General features: G+C 37.7%; 2 protein-coding genes across 9 annotated transcripts in view; one reads left to right on the top strand and one right to left on the bottom strand.

Annotated features, from left to right (window-relative positions):
• Nucleotides 1-3,959, top strand: part of RIOX2 (ribosomal oxygenase 2) — a 30,614-nt gene extending 26,655 nt beyond the window's left edge. For all 7 annotated transcript variants that reach the window (NM_001261829.2, NM_153182.4, NM_032778.6 and 4 more), the window contains one exon: nucleotides 435-3,959. In NM_001261829.2, the coding sequence (NP_001248758.1) occupies nucleotides 435-593 (159 nt within the window). In that variant the 3' untranslated portion in view covers nucleotides 594-3,959. The remainder of the gene's footprint in view (nucleotides 1-434) is intronic.
• CRYBG3 (crystallin beta-gamma domain containing 3) overlaps nucleotides 793-16,176 on the bottom strand; it is a 122,974-nt gene continuing 107,590 nt past the window's right edge. For both annotated transcript variants that reach the window (NM_153605.4, XM_005247117.5), the window contains 5 exons: nucleotides 11,944-12,083; nucleotides 8,869-8,992; nucleotides 4,471-4,629; nucleotides 3,334-3,493; nucleotides 793-2,551 (listed from right to left, as the gene is read on the bottom strand). In NM_153605.4, coding sequence (NP_705833.3) covers nucleotides 2,463-2,551; nucleotides 3,334-3,493; nucleotides 4,471-4,629; nucleotides 8,869-8,992; nucleotides 11,944-12,083 — 672 coding nt within the window. In that variant the 3' untranslated portion in view covers nucleotides 793-2,462. The remainder of the gene's footprint in view (nucleotides 2,552-3,333; nucleotides 3,494-4,470; nucleotides 4,630-8,868; nucleotides 8,993-11,943; nucleotides 12,084-16,176) is intronic.

Raw genomic sequence — 16,176 nt, 5'->3', positions numbered from 1 at the left:
ATGCCTATCCTGTGACTTGGGTGGTGGTTGGGAAGAATTGATTATTTTTGATTTACAGGTAATATGCTTTTTATGGCTGCACTGTGGACTTAACCATTTTGCACTACTCACAGAGCTCCTGCATGGGGATGATTAAGTCAGACATTTCTGTGATACATGCACACCAGTTTTAAGACATACTAGCTGGGACCTGTAGCCTTATAGGAATGGTATAATGTAAAACATTTCAAATTACTAATATCACTTACTACATAAATTAGGATGCCTTTTATATAGAAGTTGGCATCTTTTATGTTATCTAATTGTAGTGTGTCTAAAATACTCATGAGGGGTATCAAAAATAATGATGTATGGAGAATAAATTTACAGGAAAATGCTACTTCAATGACATAAGTAGTATACATATATTTTGACAAATAAATTTATCCTTTCAGTTTCATGGACTTCGCTTCCCTTTGTCACATTTGGATGCACTGAAGCAAATTTGGAATAGTCCAGCTATTTCTGTCAAGGACCTGAAACTTACTACAGATGAGGAAAAGGAAAGCCTGGTATTATCCCTCTGGACAGAATGTTTAATTCAAGTAGTCTAGTGCCTTTGCAGAATCAAATGCCTACTATTTTATATGCATATATTAAAAGAAAAGCAAAGACCTGAGCCGAGGAGAGGATGAATTCAAGTTTCCTTACCTGCGTATCTACTAACAAACATGAGACCTCCCTGTTACAGGTGGTCAGTTGGCCAAATGTACTAACGGGCACATGAAAGAAAGAACAGCAAATTACCAAGTGTCTCAGAAAATGACAAAACCATATTTTGACAAGTTTATTTAATCCAGTGTGGTAGAAAAGGCACAATTCCAATGTATCATTTAGAATTGAATGTCATTAACCTGGCTTTGTTCTTTGGAAGAAACAACTTCTTTAAAGAGCTTCTTTGGCTCTAGAAAAATTTCAAACAATTAAAATAAGAAAAAATTTTAAACTGGTTTTTTATAATGAAAATATACATACCTTTGTGTATAGACAAGCCCATGCCCATTAAAATAAAGTTATCCTGTAACATAAATTTTATTAAATAATACTTCCCCACAGATGAGAGGCACGCAACACCTATGGACAAAAGGGAGTTACAGAGGCTGCTTAAAAGATGGAGAAAAGCCTGAGATTGAAGGAGGAAAAAAACCCAGTATTTAAAGTCTATAAAAAATACTCAAAATAGTGGGTCTTCGAGTTTAAAATAGTCATTGTTATTTTACATTCTAAAGTGCATGTAGGTTGATATTTTTTAAAATATCATTGGAGAATTTAATCTTTCTTTATAAAAATAGAGCATTTTTCTGCTTTCTGGCAAAAGTTGGGGATAAAAGGAAAAAAAGTTGTCAAAATGTAATTTTCAGTCCAATTCACCAGGAAAACATGCTTGTGAATTGTGCAGTAAAAGGTGGTAATGACTACTGGAAGCTAAGTCAAAGGTGATTTCCTACCTGATTTTACTTACTTAAATAAAAGTTACTTACAATGGGAGTGAAAAACTGAGGTTTCTGTTATTTAGTAGAGAAATCAACTCCACGTTTACTTAAAGAGATGGTAAGGTCAAGGTTCAAATGCTACTGTGTTTTAATTTGGATATTTGAAATTTCTCTTGAGGCAAAAAAAAAAAAAAATTGATGCCTCTCCTTAAATCTAGGATGAAGTGTCAACATGGAGACAGGTAACCACTGTTATAGAGTCTTGTCACCTAAAGGGATGTCTTGGTTAACACGTAACAGTGCAAGTTTGGCCATAGGTTATTTATTTGTACTTTTTTAGTTTGAAGGACTGAGGAAACAATAGCTACAGAAAATACTTCTTGTGCCTTATTCCTAACAAAGCTGAGGTCCCTGCCTGGGGTTAGTTACAAGTATAAATACTTAACGAGGTGCGTTCATTATAAAAGCCTCAGTATAGAAACCTTAAAGTTTATCTAGGAAAGTTTAGTATATTTTCAGGTGTTGCTAAAAAATTACTCATCTGTTTGCAAAAGTATGACTTGACCTATAGAAATCTGTTTCTTTATGCTTTGTACTCATACAAGCATCTAGGTAGGATATTAATAAATAATACAGGATAATAGCATCACCAGTGTCCAATAACGGGCCATCAGGAACAGGATTCACGTTTGGTGGATATGAGAGAAAATAAACACTTCAGGAAACTTGCTCACCACAGCTGGAGATCAGGAATAGAACCTTTCCAAGATATCATAATATTTTCTTTATAGGAACACTGAGTAATGGCAAGAATATTTTGAGCTTTTCCATGGTTAAGAGCGATAGTCTCAGAGGCTGGAGAAAATGTTCATTCTGCTCAGTGATCCAGGAGTGTGAGGACAGTAGCTTCCTTTCCACGTCCACAAGACAATGACAGATGTGTTTCCTTCTTTGCTCTTTCTAGGGATCTTTCTAGGGATGTTGATTCTCTCACAATATTTCAATGTCCCATTTCTGTGTTTCTTCTCCCTCCAGGGGCTGATTTACAATTACATGAGTCTTGTCACAATAATTTCCTCCTAAAATAGAAATTCCAAAAGAAAAGATTATTTGTTCAGGCAGGTGCTTAGCAATTTCACAATTTTCACAAGCTTCTGTTCAGCTCACCATTTCGGTGGATGAATGTGTCATTTACAAAGAAGTCTGAAATGGGAAGCTGAGTTTGAACAGGCTTAGCCATTATTCACCTCAAATTGGACCTTATTATGACTCAAATTGAAATACTAAAAGGTATAATACATGATTGTATAAGTGGCGTGCCTTAATGTGATTCTTTAGAACAAAGTGCTCTTGAGAGAACTCTGGCTGAATGTCAGGTACTGTGTTTTTGTTTCTACACCAACAAAACTGTGACTAACCCAATTAAAGCAACAGCCATGAATAATATTGGCCCTGACCTTGCTGAATTCAAAAACAAGGTTAATTGATACCTACCATAAATTCTACCTGAGGGTTTTTAAGGACCATGGCAATTCCTGGCAAAAAGCTAGAGATGTTTCTAAGAAACAGATGACATTCATTTCATGGTTTATGGTGCTTGAAATTTAGAACTGTTCTGAGTTCACGTAGCAAATGAAAGTTTTACAACTGTACTAATGAACAAAAACCCTAAGCTTTGTTGTTTGGCTTTTTCTGCTAATTGTTTTGTTTGTAAAACTGCCTATCTTAATTTTCTTCAAGCATAATTTTAAATGACTTAACATTTCTCTTATACATAAGGATGTCCTTTACCCAAAATGAGGAGATTTGGAACTGAAACTAATATCCAGGGACACAACATTGGGTATCATCAAAGGCCCACCTTTAACATCAAGGACAAGTTGATCACTGAGATAAGAGCTGATAGTTCCATTTTTATTCAGTCTCCACTTCTGCCTGAATTGCCCATGTTCAGTCCATAGAGCTACTTTAGCTCCAGGTGTGTCCCGGCCACCAATCACATCAAGACATGTATCACTGGCCTAAAAGGGTTAAGAAATGATTAATTGGCAGTAGTATGTTTGCTAAAGTAAGTTGAATTAGGTCCCTTTTATCTTAGGTAAACAAGTCATAGACATGAAGTGTGTGTGTGTCTTATCTAAAAAAATACTATATAGTATAATTTCAGTAAGCCTTTTTTAATGTCTTCTTTACGGCTGTGGGTAGGAGATGGTACAGAAATAAACCAACTGAAATAGAGGTACTTGTTTTTAATAGGATGTCTACATCTGACAACAGATGTTCAATAAAGATTTGGTGAATTGGAATTAAATGTTAAATCCCTGTTTGCTTAAAACGTATTATGTTGAGCTTGGTTTTCTTATGAAAACATTGCATGATGGGCTAAAGATATCCAGACAATAATTACTTTTAAAAGTTTTTCATTTTTGAAGCATGAGAAAAAGTAGATAATCCATTGGTGATACAATAAAACACAGTTTGAATGTTTTTAAAGTAGTGTTCTATTCCCAATGCATTAAACATAACGGAAGGGTCATAGAAAAGAACCCTAAATTTTATTTTCTAAGCTTCTTCCAATAACAGCTTTCTTCTTCTACTGCTTCTTTGTATACTTTGAAAATGAAAGGTTTCAACATATTTAGAATCACAGAGATGGCTGATTTTATCTGGGCCATCAAGTAAGGAACATCTTACAAAAGCACATTGTCCAACTTAGATCTGGTGACTTATACCATTGGTTGTAAAAAATCACTTAGGTATATCCATAATATGTGATAACCTTTGTGTTTACTTAAAAATTGAAACTGGATTTTCTTGTTCAAAAAATTAAGTTAATTTTATATAAATGTTTTAGTAATATATGGCAGTATTTTTATAATCAACACCTGTTTCTAAGAAGTTGCATTGTTTTATCATGCCAGTTGATTTGACAGGATTCTAGTTTTCAAAATAAAAAACAGACCAGAAAGTGGCATACTGTATCAGTGGGATTGCTTACCTTGGATTTAAAGAGTCCTCGGCAGTAGTACCAGATCTGAGTATTCTTTCCACTATAGGGAGAAATGCACACAGATGTTGCCCTGGTGTCTGCTAGACTTCCAGTGACTGTCAGATATTCACCCTGGGCACGGTTCTTTATTCTGATGTACACTGCAGGCTATGACAGGAGAAACAGCCATTTAGAAATAAACTTTTGAATCTGGAAATGAATCCTTCCAGAGGAGGAAAGCTGGGAGGGAAAGTGAGAGGTAACTATCTTAGTTATATCAGTTTCACTCTTATTCCCTTTAGTAAATCTGCATAGATTAATATGGTAAATCCTTAGGCCGTGGAGCATAAAGCTTAAATTGTACAGTCTCTATTACACTTTGTGAAAAGTGCCCTTTTGAACAGCATGAAGTAAAAGTTTCTTTCACTAGAATTCCATGTGGTGAGGAGTGGGGTGGTAAAGAATTAGGGACTTGATGAGTTTCATTCAATAGTGTGTCCCAGCTGTGCTGAGGGAGGTAGGGGAGTTATTACCTACAAGGATTTTCTAAAAACTTCAGAAAGACATACTGTGGAGCTATGACTAAATGCCATAAGTTGGCCCTGGGAGGTCTTGAAAAACCCAGATAGCTGAGGGCACTAGTAGCTGTGATTATTTGTTTATATAAGACCTTTATTTCTTCAAAAGTAGAGACCATGTATGTTTAATGACTATACTTAGGTACTCAAAAATTGTGTAACAAAGGACTTCATCCCCTTGGCCTGGAAGTTTTAAGATACATACAAAAAGTTTTAAAATATTAAACCTGGGACTTGCCTCTAAGGAGAATAGCTAATATTTATTGAACACGTAGTATGTGTAAGCAGCATGCTAAATGCATTCTGTGCCATTATGTTATTTGTCAGAATAACCACAAAAACCTATTAAGAAAGTACAATTATACCCTAGTTTTACAAATAAGGTGAACACAGATGTAAAGAAGCCAGGTTCCTCTTAACCAGGATGCTCTCAGACCTATGTTGAAATGCACTAGTTGCTCTTAGGCACAGGGAATAAGAGACGAATTCCAAAGGTGGCAGTGTAGGACAATGAAAGAGCAGGGCACATAATGGAAGCACAACAGAAGCCATTATTTCAGCCCTATGACTTAGGCCTCCAGCCTTAATGTAATAAATGACACCCAACATGACACCCAACATCCCCACCTTTGGTTCTTCTCATTGCCATCCCAATTAGAACCCTGGCTGAGTAATAACAAATGGTCTCTTAAGAGAGCACTTTCATGCTAAGAAACATAAGTGCTTAGGTAAATGCAATAGGTCATATGGTAAGAGAACCAATGAACAGTCTACTGTTTTTGAAACTTGATAGATCAACGTGAAGCTAACTGAATTTTGGTAATTAAACCTTCCTAAGGAAATACACATTCTCAGCACTTAAGCCAATAGAAGGACAAATTATCTGGCCATTTAAACCAGGCGAACAAGCTCTCTACTTGGCAAAATGTTTTAAATGTTTCAAATCCCTACTTCCAACATTAACAATGCAACAGTAGTGTACTTAAATGTCTATAATTCAGCCGGATCTACTGCAATTATTAATTCTTGAGGCTTCAGTATATCTTTATTACATTTTCATTACCTTGTACATATAAGAAAACAGGCGTGACCTTCACAGATGACAGAGTTCCAATTACTTTAGGACCAGACATCACAGTTTTAATCAATTAACTCAGGCAAGGTACTAATTACCCTTATTACACATTTGTAGTCTGACTGCTCTGTAATTATACTTAAAAACACTGATATACATTATAAGTACCTTAGTGACTTCCTAATTCCCAGCCTCAAAGAGGATCACATTTTAATTAGTCCTGAATTTCTAAACAAGAATATGAACCAAAGCAGTACCAACAGCCTTACCACAAATTTAAATGTGACCCACAAACTACTATTTTAGAAACTCAGAATTCCTTTGTTGGATTTCAAAACTGTGACCTAAATAAACAAAAGGAAAAATAATCTATTAAAATATTATTTTGAAATTAAATGTTTAATCAGAATAGGAATCAGGTAGCTCCTAACGCACAGTGAAAGAAAATAGCATACTATTCTTGTTAAAAAAAACTTCCTTGTAAAAGTAGAGGTGGCTGTTCTATCCTTTACCAGACAATCTTGAACAATAGGCAGGGACATCCTTCTTCCCCAACAAGGAACCACCATTAAAAAATGAGGAACATATTTTCATTGTTGAACTTGGCTACTAAAGTCTCTAACAACAGAGGGTCAGCATTATTATGTAGTTAGTAAAAGCTAAACTGAATTCCTATCTCTACTTTGCTTTTTCTGATGGCTTTTCAGTGGGCTTACTCCCTGTTCCACATGATAGGAGTGGGGAATAAGCAAGATGTAAAGGTCATGAGATCGTCTACCACACACTCTGTGCCAGGAAAGCCATTAATGTTTCAGTATCCCTCAAAAGAGCATCTCAAGGGACATTGTGAATAATAATAATAATAAAAAATTTTCAAAATAAGTGTATTACCATAGTAATATGAGCCAGAGCCATATCAGACTGTTCATATACATTATCTTATTCAACCGTCACAGCAATGAGATGTAAGCAATGTGATCACTGCTTCACCAGTGAGAAACCTAAGGTGCCAAGAAATGAAGTGACTCACCAAGCTGCACTGCTTACAAATGGCAGAGCCAGGATTTGAACCAACAGAACTCATGAGTGGTGGGATGAGAATGGTGTGTGTGCATGTGTGCATGTGTGCATGTGAAGAGGGTGAGAGAAGACCAATTAGGTTAATATTTTATTGGCTACCATTTATTTAACACTTAAGTAAGGGTTAAATAAGTGTCAGGTCAGAACATCAGAGCCTCAGCATTTAGATCCACTAGGCTATATTCAGCTCAGTGCCTGAAATAGGTGGTACTCTCTAAGTGCTGATCTTAGGCTGATGGAAAGTAGAGTGTGGTTGCTTAAGAACACAGATTTTAAAGCATAGTAGATTTGGGTCCAAATCCTGGTTCTGACACTTGATGTGCTTTTATTGTCACAGGTAGGAATCATTATCCCCATTTTCCAGATGGAGCCTTATTCTTCTCTCAGAGCCTTATTATTCCAACTAGAAAATGGGGATAATAATTCCTACCTCAAAGGACTGTTGTTGGAATCAAGCAAGAAAGTGTTCTAAAGAGATTAGAGAGAGGTACTAATGCCATATCCACGGGCCATCACACCCCTGACAGTTTCACTTGGGTTTTCCACCTTCCATGAAACCTCCCCACTACTCCTACACATGTTGATACTTCCTTTCTCTGAACCAGGGACTGCCTGTGGCTTTTGGATAATTATGCATTGTTTTGCATTTTATGTTACTGCTTTGAGTTGGACATGTTTTACCCAACAAAAATGTAAGCTTTAATAATATTGGCAGAAATCGCATCTATCTTTATATTTTCCATTATACTTTGCATAATATCATTGATCCATCCACTGATATATTCATTCCTTCATTAAATAAATAGTTCCTCAGCTCCTACAATATTCCAGATATTGTTTCAGGCACTAGGGGTAGAGCAATGAGCAAAACATGGACAGTCCTTGACTTCACAGGGTTTTCTATAGAGTGGGAGAGACCCCGATCCAACCATAACGCTAGGGTTATAAACTGCATACAGTGTTTTTGTAGAAAAAGAACCCCCAGGTCTTTTATGATCTAATGTAGATTGGGAGAGAAGGTGGGGGAGGCATTCTTGAGGACCTGACACTTAAGTAGAATTTACAGGGATGACTAGTCAAATAAAGAATGAGGGAAGAACACGATACAGAGGGTGCAGCCCATGTTAAAAGTCTTAGTGGGAAACCACTCTGTACTTTGATGCCTGTGACACAACCATGTGAAAGATGAGGTTGGAGAAGCAAGGTGGGGTAGCGGGTAGATTGTATTCTAAGTGCAGTGGGAAGCTTTTGAACAGAAGACTGACAAGCAGTAGGTGTGCAATAAATACTTATTTTAATTAAATTGCCAGGATCCATCCTGAGTATTATATAAGTAGGGAGGGGAATATCCAAATGCTTAGAAATTAAAACTAGTACAGTATCAAAGTTCATTCCTGTTACCAAGGTTTGCCACAGAACTTACAGTATCTTAGTTTTCCACGAAAAGTGAACATGGCCAATGAGGCTTTGGACTGAAAACTGAAATCCAATGTTGACTTTAGATACAATCTTACAAATTGGTTAAAATGTACAAGATATCCGCATCCTAATTCACTCCCCCTACTATGTAAATGGCAAACTAAATTAAATGATCATTATTTCAGATGCTGTGGTTTATGACATTTCTACCACAAAAGCAAGCTATTTGGAATCTTATGGTTCTTTTCTCCTTACCTGCTTCATAGGACGGAGGGAACCAATTGTTTTCCATCTGCTGAATGCTGTCCAGTTTGGGATCTCATTAGGCCTGAGTAGGATTTGTCTTCCCAAGAAATTGGATCCTTCATAAGCTATCCATCTATGAGAACAAGAAAGAAAAAAGTAGTGTACTTCAAAACAAAAAAAAATCCCTCATCAAAAGTATCTGCACTTTGCCTTATAGGGTTCATAAACTTCTAGGTTTGCAGACTTTTAAAATTGCACATTTTTTCCTAACAAAAATCAGGGAGGTATAGGAGAAAACCCACTGGCCTAGACTCAGAAGATTTGGGTTCCAGTTACAATGCTGGTTTCCTTTCTTCCAAAATGAATGCAAGGTTTCCTCCATCTCTGAAATCCTATATTTCTTTGATAACATTGTCATAGCATTATAACATTTAAAGGCAGACCATAACCTCCTATTAACCAGCAGAAAATCACACTCCTGCCCCTAGAGTCACCATCACATGTCCTTCAGGGCCTCTAAGTGTGGCTCCAGTGAACTCTCCAGACATATCTTCTTCCACTCCTCCCTCCACAGCTTCCCCAAAGCCACCAAGACTTCTTAGAATTGTTCACAGAAGTTCTCCATCACCCTCTTCAAGGCCCAGCTCCTTTGAGAATCCTCCCCGAAACCCTTGCCTTCAACTTTGGCAGCATTAAAGTGTGTAAAAGTACACTGGAGTCTCAAGACTTATTTAATGGAACACAGTCATGCCCATTGCTTTAAGGATTGCCTACGGCTGCTCTTGCACTACCATAGCAACTTCAGTAGTCATGACACAGACAGATGACCCACAAACTGAAAAGACTATCTGGCCCTTTACAGAAAAAGTCTGCCAAGCACCACCTTAGGTGATTACTAAGCTTGATGACTAAAGAGAATGTGCTGGAGTCACTAAGAGCACCTGAAATTCTCAGCAGGACTCAAGGTCAGTGTACACAGTGCTTTAAGAAAGTGTGTGCAGGATGAGATGGCTGCCTTGCTTTATTTTGATAAAGCACCTGGAATTGTGGCAGGGGTTGTCCTGGCTTGCACCAAGGGAGGTAAAGCCTTGTGGATGAAGCAAAGAGCACCAGCAGCAGGCAAGGTAGTCTGCTTATCAGATGGACCAGAGCTCAGGAACAGGGTCATCCAGGGCTTAGGACACAAGCTACAGAGGGTTGCTTGTGCTGCTATGGCAGCAACTTCAGCCCCTCGATTTTCCAGATTAAAAACTTCTAAAATTCACAAAGTGCAATATTCCTTAGGGACTTGTTCTTCAGGTAATGCAGGAAAAGATACCAACTTGAGCATAAGTTGTGGGGAGAAGGGGAGAGCTGAGGAAAGCTTGATGTATTACAGCTATGAAAGCTTGGGTAGGGATGACTGACTCAACCTGACCACCACTAAGAAAAGTCCTCCTTGCTCCCCACAACCAAGATCAGACTTGACCAAATTATGGAGAGATGAATGAGATGGATGGCCCATTCTTGACCCCTCCTTCCTACACAAATCTAATCAATCAGACTGGTGGAGAGGCAGGTCAGCATGACCACGGACAGGCTTAGCTGCCTCTCCCGCTGCAGATTCTTTAAACTGTCAGGGAAGTTTCAGTTATAAAATCTAGGTAAGATTTTAGGAAAATGTACCTAATTATATATTGATTTAAATGAATTCCACAGTTGGAAAACTGTGTGGGATGGTGCATTTAAGCATGGCTGTCATCATCACAGATCAAAGATGTGGCATAGCATGGGGATTAAAACAAACCCAACTTGTAACTAAGGGAAGCTGGCTGTACATTAAGTAGTATTCTGTAACCTAGGAAAATCCTTAGGCAGCCTTCACTGTTCCTTACTCCATGTTCCAATTCTCTTAAAGAGAATTTGGAATAGTGAGAGTAGGTGGCTAATAAGCCAAAGAGAAGAAATAAGAATGTCAAGATAAAATGGCACCAGTGTTCCAGAAAAAAATGAAATAAGAAAGTGAGAAATTTTCAGAAGTGAGTCAAGTATCAATTTCACTCAGAAATGGGAAGAAATGAATTAAAATGTTGTGAAAGACCTATATCACAGGGATGTAAAATTTAGTTAATTGGTAAATAATATATTGGAATCTTATGCTTAGATAGAATAAATCAATTTGTCTGAATAAACATCAAACCATTTAAAATGTTTTGCAGAAGAAAACTTAAGCTATTTATACAAGTGTATAATATAAAAGCCATTTATTATAATAGTTTGCTTAATTTTCACCTCCACTTATATTATTGGCTTTCTCTTTATCCCCAGATATTTAAACCAGCACAGTTGATTATCACGGAATTTCAAAGCCATAGAAAAACTTTTAAAGCCATTTTTTTATTAACCGTCAAGAGCTATGTGTGTTTTTTTAGTTGACTTTTGCTACCAGAACACTAACAGTGCAGGAGTAGGGGCTGGTTTATATGCCGGACTCTTCAGAACTGGATTCAGAGGCAGATTTTCCAGGAAGCAAACAGAGCTTCAACTTCAAGGCCCCTCACTTACAGGCTTCTCACCATTTCTGTCCTAAGTATTCACATTGATATCTAATATTTCTATCATAATTTTAAATTTTTTCTTAAAGGCAGCTTTCTAATTTGTAAAAGCACAGGCCCCTGGGTCTACCCTGACTGACTGATAACCTAAATGAACAACAATACTGGTAGGCAGGCTAGGCCAACCAGTGTAGTCCACAGGCAAGTGAGTACCCTGGAGGAACTGCTCTAGAATACATGGCTATTAAATCAAAAAACAACATCGAACTTGGTCTTGCCAGCAGTCACTTGCCTTAAGCAGGAAATTGTCTTAACCAAAGTTGCTGGGATATTGAAATTTCTTCTGAAAAGAAAGTTCAACTGGGTAAAGTCATTTGATTGACCTACTCTATGACACATGCTGTGACCATATGGTAGCCCTTCTCTTCCAAAGGGCTCTTCCTCAAGACCACTTGAATGCGTACTACTACACAGTGGACTTGGTTTGCAACTCTGCAACTCTGTCTTAAAACAGTAACTGAACCAGACCAAGCCTTTTTCCCATACTTACAGTCCACTTTTTACCCACACAGACTGGGTGTAGAAGTGTAGGTCCTTGTTCAGAACAGAGTTCACAGCCTCTTCTAGATGTAACTCTCTTCCCTCACAATGCTCCAGAGCAAAAAGGCTGATGGAGGGTTCTTCAAAAACCTATTAGCAGAAAAAGAAAGCGTCACCATAGGAGTGGCCATATCTCAGTGACATCCCAGTCTGAACACAGGGTACCCTGAATCCATTGTATTCTTAAATGCATGGAGTTTACTGTTTTACTCTCTAAGGTTGCTATAGTCAAAACTGCACTGGAAAGATTAGATTTTATTAATAATTTTTGTTCACTTTTTTGTAAACTAAAATTCAAGTTATCAGAAAAGCAATCAATCTCATAATAAAAACAGCCATAATAAAGAGACCCATGATTCCAAATCACAGATTAAGGTCTTGTGGTACTGTAATATGGACCATAATTAGTCCTGCCAATGCTTTTAGCTGGCAACAGAATAAATATGGAATGGAATGGCACCCTAATTTCTAGGAGGTCACAGGAGCAGTCACTAGGAATGTAAGACTCTGTGGTGGTAAGCTCTTAAAAATATTCCTAGGAGGAAGAATAAAGGCATTTTTAATTTAAAAAAAGCTGAAATGCACAAGAATGGTGGTGATTTCTGCATTAAAAGTATTTCTTCAACCCATCATGTCAGACAAGAATAGACTCAGTATTGCTTTTTCATTCATTAATGTATGCAAGACACCATGTTAAGAGACTTTTGGGGGGATGATAAAACAAGGCACCATCTATCCTTGTGTCTGGGGAATTACTAACAAATAGTTAAATTAAAACTGTACAGATATTGTAATGTAATCCAGTGCAGAAAAAGATATGCTGTGTCAGAGTCCTCAGTAGAAAGCTAGATTATTTTTAGCAGAAGGGAGCAGGAATCAAGCTTCATGGATGTGGTGGCTTGTGAGCTCAGTCTCAAAGGATGCAGTGGATCTGGAAAGAAGATGGTGAACAGAGGGAAAACATTCTGTGCAAAGCAAGACAAGAGAAACACATGGGACATGTTGGGGGAACGGCAAATCAGCCCAACAGGAAACAGCGGCAAGTGCTCCCACAGTTTGTTATGGTGCATTGCACTGCTTGCTTCTCCTCCCACACTGACAGGACAGAGACAGATCTATTCCCAGTGGAAAGTTCTTGAAGCTTCTGAACTAAGGACTATGAGTGGGCTGAAGCAACTGCAACTCGGTAGATAAGAAGCAAAGCACTAGCAGCAGGGGCAGTGGAGGGTCAAAGAACAATAAATGAACAGGCAGAAAATAACAAGCTCTCACAGTGACCCTCACAAGGGACCTGCTTATACTTGCATAAGAGAAGGATGAATTATGAAATAGTTTTTCTTTGCAGCAGTGTTTGGAACAGTGAAGGGTGTGGAATGATTTAAACGCCCATCAGGAGAGGACTGGTTACATAAATTATGGTTCATACACAGAAGAATCATATACAGCTGTAAAAAAGAATGGGGAGCTCTTTATGAAAGATCACCAAGATATATTGTTTAGAAATAAACACAAAGGATGGTATGAAAAACGTATTTCATACACTACCATTTGCAGAGAAGGAAAATTTCTGTGCACATACATATGTATGCGCTTGTACACACATTAAAATTTTTCTAAAAAATAAAAAAAACTGGTAACCATGGCTGCCTGTTGGGAAGACTGTGTAAGAGAAGATAAAGGGCACAAGTGCACAAGTGGAAGCAAAGTTTTTCACTAAGTGCCTTTTGGTATATTTTGACTTTTGAACCATGGGAATATTTATTTTAAATTGGTATTATTAATTTTAAGTTGGTAATTATTACACGTTGGCATTGTGTATATGTATTTTTTAATGGCCTTCAGGCAATCTGTCTGACAACAGTATAAGTGAAGAACAGAGAGAATGGAAGTAACGGCATCAGTACTGGTGCAATATATGAGGTCAGAGAAAAATAGACCCAGACCTAAAACAGGGGTTAGGGGGAAGGTTAGGAGTAAAGGATGGCCAGGAAGACTATTAATATCACAGTGATAAAACAGACATGCTAGTTAAGGCAAACAAATGGAATCAGTAAGTGAGGAAAAATGTGAAAAGTCATGGCTTGGGACATGCTGGTATAATCGGTTATATATAAAGAAATCAGGAGGAAAGCATGCCCAGATATCTTAATGTTGAGATAGAGCCAGGATAATCTTAACAGTGATGTCCAACATATACTGGACCTTTTGATCTGGAGTTCCAGGGAAAGACCAGGTTTAGAGATGTTGGGTTTGGGAATTCTCAGAATCTGGGTAATAACTAGAGCCATGGATAAGAAAATGGAAATGCAAGGAAACTAGAACTGCACTGACATACACAGGTGGGCGATGATGAAACATGGGAGGTGGAAGTGACTGAACAAATGAATCAGGAGAAGACAGCCAAAACAGAACCCATTTACACTGTAGAAGTGAAGGAGGAAGAGAATTATAAGGAAGACTTGCCCCATGGCATCAAATTCTTTCCATGTCGAGGGAGAGGGTGACTGAGATATGGCTGTTTGGGTTTGATAATCAGAAGGCAGCTAGTAACCCTATGAATGCTGTTTCAGCACCATGTCAGAAATGAAGTTAAAATCTAGGTTGTAAGGGCTGAAGAGTAAGTGGTGAGAAACTGTACAGGCTATAAAGGTATACAGACTATTAGAAAAATTTGGTGAAGAGCAGGAGGGAAACGGGGTAGTGGCCTATGAGCATGCTTTGTGGAAGGCGTTAGTGGAATAGAGAGAAGCTGAATACTGCAAGGCAAAAAGGATGTTCCAGGGAAGGAGGGAGAGGTACAATCCATTGCTTCCCATCAGTTCATGAGGAAAAAGATCACTTTGGAAAGGATGAACTCCACCTCTGAAATAAAAGGAAAGATAAAAAGGATGCCCAGAAATGTCCATTTAAAATCAGGAAATGTGTGAATAAATTTCTCTTTACGTTATGTGGCCAACACTGTCTGCTGATCAAGGAAAGTTTAAAGCATCTTCCAGAAGTTCCTGAAGTGATAGAAATGTTATGTATCTGGACTCTCCAATATGGCAGCCACTAGCCACATGTGGCTTGTGTGATCAAGGGATGGAATTAATTTAAATAACCACAGGTGGCTAGTGCTATGGTGTTGGACAGTACAGATTTAGGAGTTAGAGGATACTGGCAAAGAATGTAACAATTGCTGTGTGCAGTGAGACCATAAGCTAAGATGGACAGGCTACCTAGGAGCATTGATTTTCCCTCAGTAGACACCACTGACTGCACCAGGAATAAAAACTCATCTCTAATCACTGAGTTATTGAGTGGCCACAGGCAAGGTTAGGCACCTCTTCTGCTATCTGCAAAATAAATTGGAAGCATCCCAACAGTTTATAAAATAAACTGAAAGTAAGCAGACAATAAAAATCCACAGCCCTGACTATATTGGTGGATTTTTTTCAACATCTTCACTCTCAAGATTTTTAGAAAGTATTCCACTTTACCTTTTTACACACATCTACTTGTTGAGTTACTGATTAGTGAGGAAGAACAGATGGCAAGGAGCCTGGCCAGTGCTCCAAGTCAACAATCAGCAGCACTCTCCCCAGAGAAGAGCTGGCTGGGGTAAGAGCAACAGACATCTACATCAAAGGCATTTACTGGTTACATGATGTTAACTGTTTTATATCCCAGAGGGGGAAAAAATCTAGAAGCCTATTATGAGAAAGTAATTTAAATGCTAAGCATTATTCTAAGAAAAATTGACCTGTGTACATTTTTCCTCTTCCTTTTGCAGAATGCCTACAAAGATATTTTTCAAAACGCTGGTATTGTCACTGAAACGCCATTAAATTCAATCCCATCATTCTAGCAATTCTACCTCTAGAAATGTATCTCAAGAAAAGATAAAAAGCTTGATGGAGGGAACAAAAAATGTGTAAACATCTATGTTTTTAAAAATAATGATGCAGGGATATTGAGAAAAAAATTGTACAAGATGACAGAAAATATTTGAAACATTTTAACAGCTTATATAAATTAGTAAGGGTACTCTAAGAAACCTATTGGACAAATGGGCAAAGAAGGTAAGCCAATAGCATTAACCAAAGAAGAGACATAGCTAATAAACCAGCGTGGAAAAATATCCCACCTCTCATAAACAACAAAAGGATATCATTATGTGGTCCAACTATCAAATTTTACATTT

This window comes from Homo sapiens, chromosome 3, assembly GCF_000001405.40.
Source record: "Homo sapiens chromosome 3, GRCh38.p14 Primary Assembly".
Classification (NCBI taxonomy): Eukaryota; Metazoa; Chordata; class Mammalia; order Primates; family Hominidae; genus Homo; species Homo sapiens.
The sequence above is the reverse complement of the archived record's forward strand: the minus strand, read 5'-3'. Positions and strand labels throughout refer to the sequence as shown.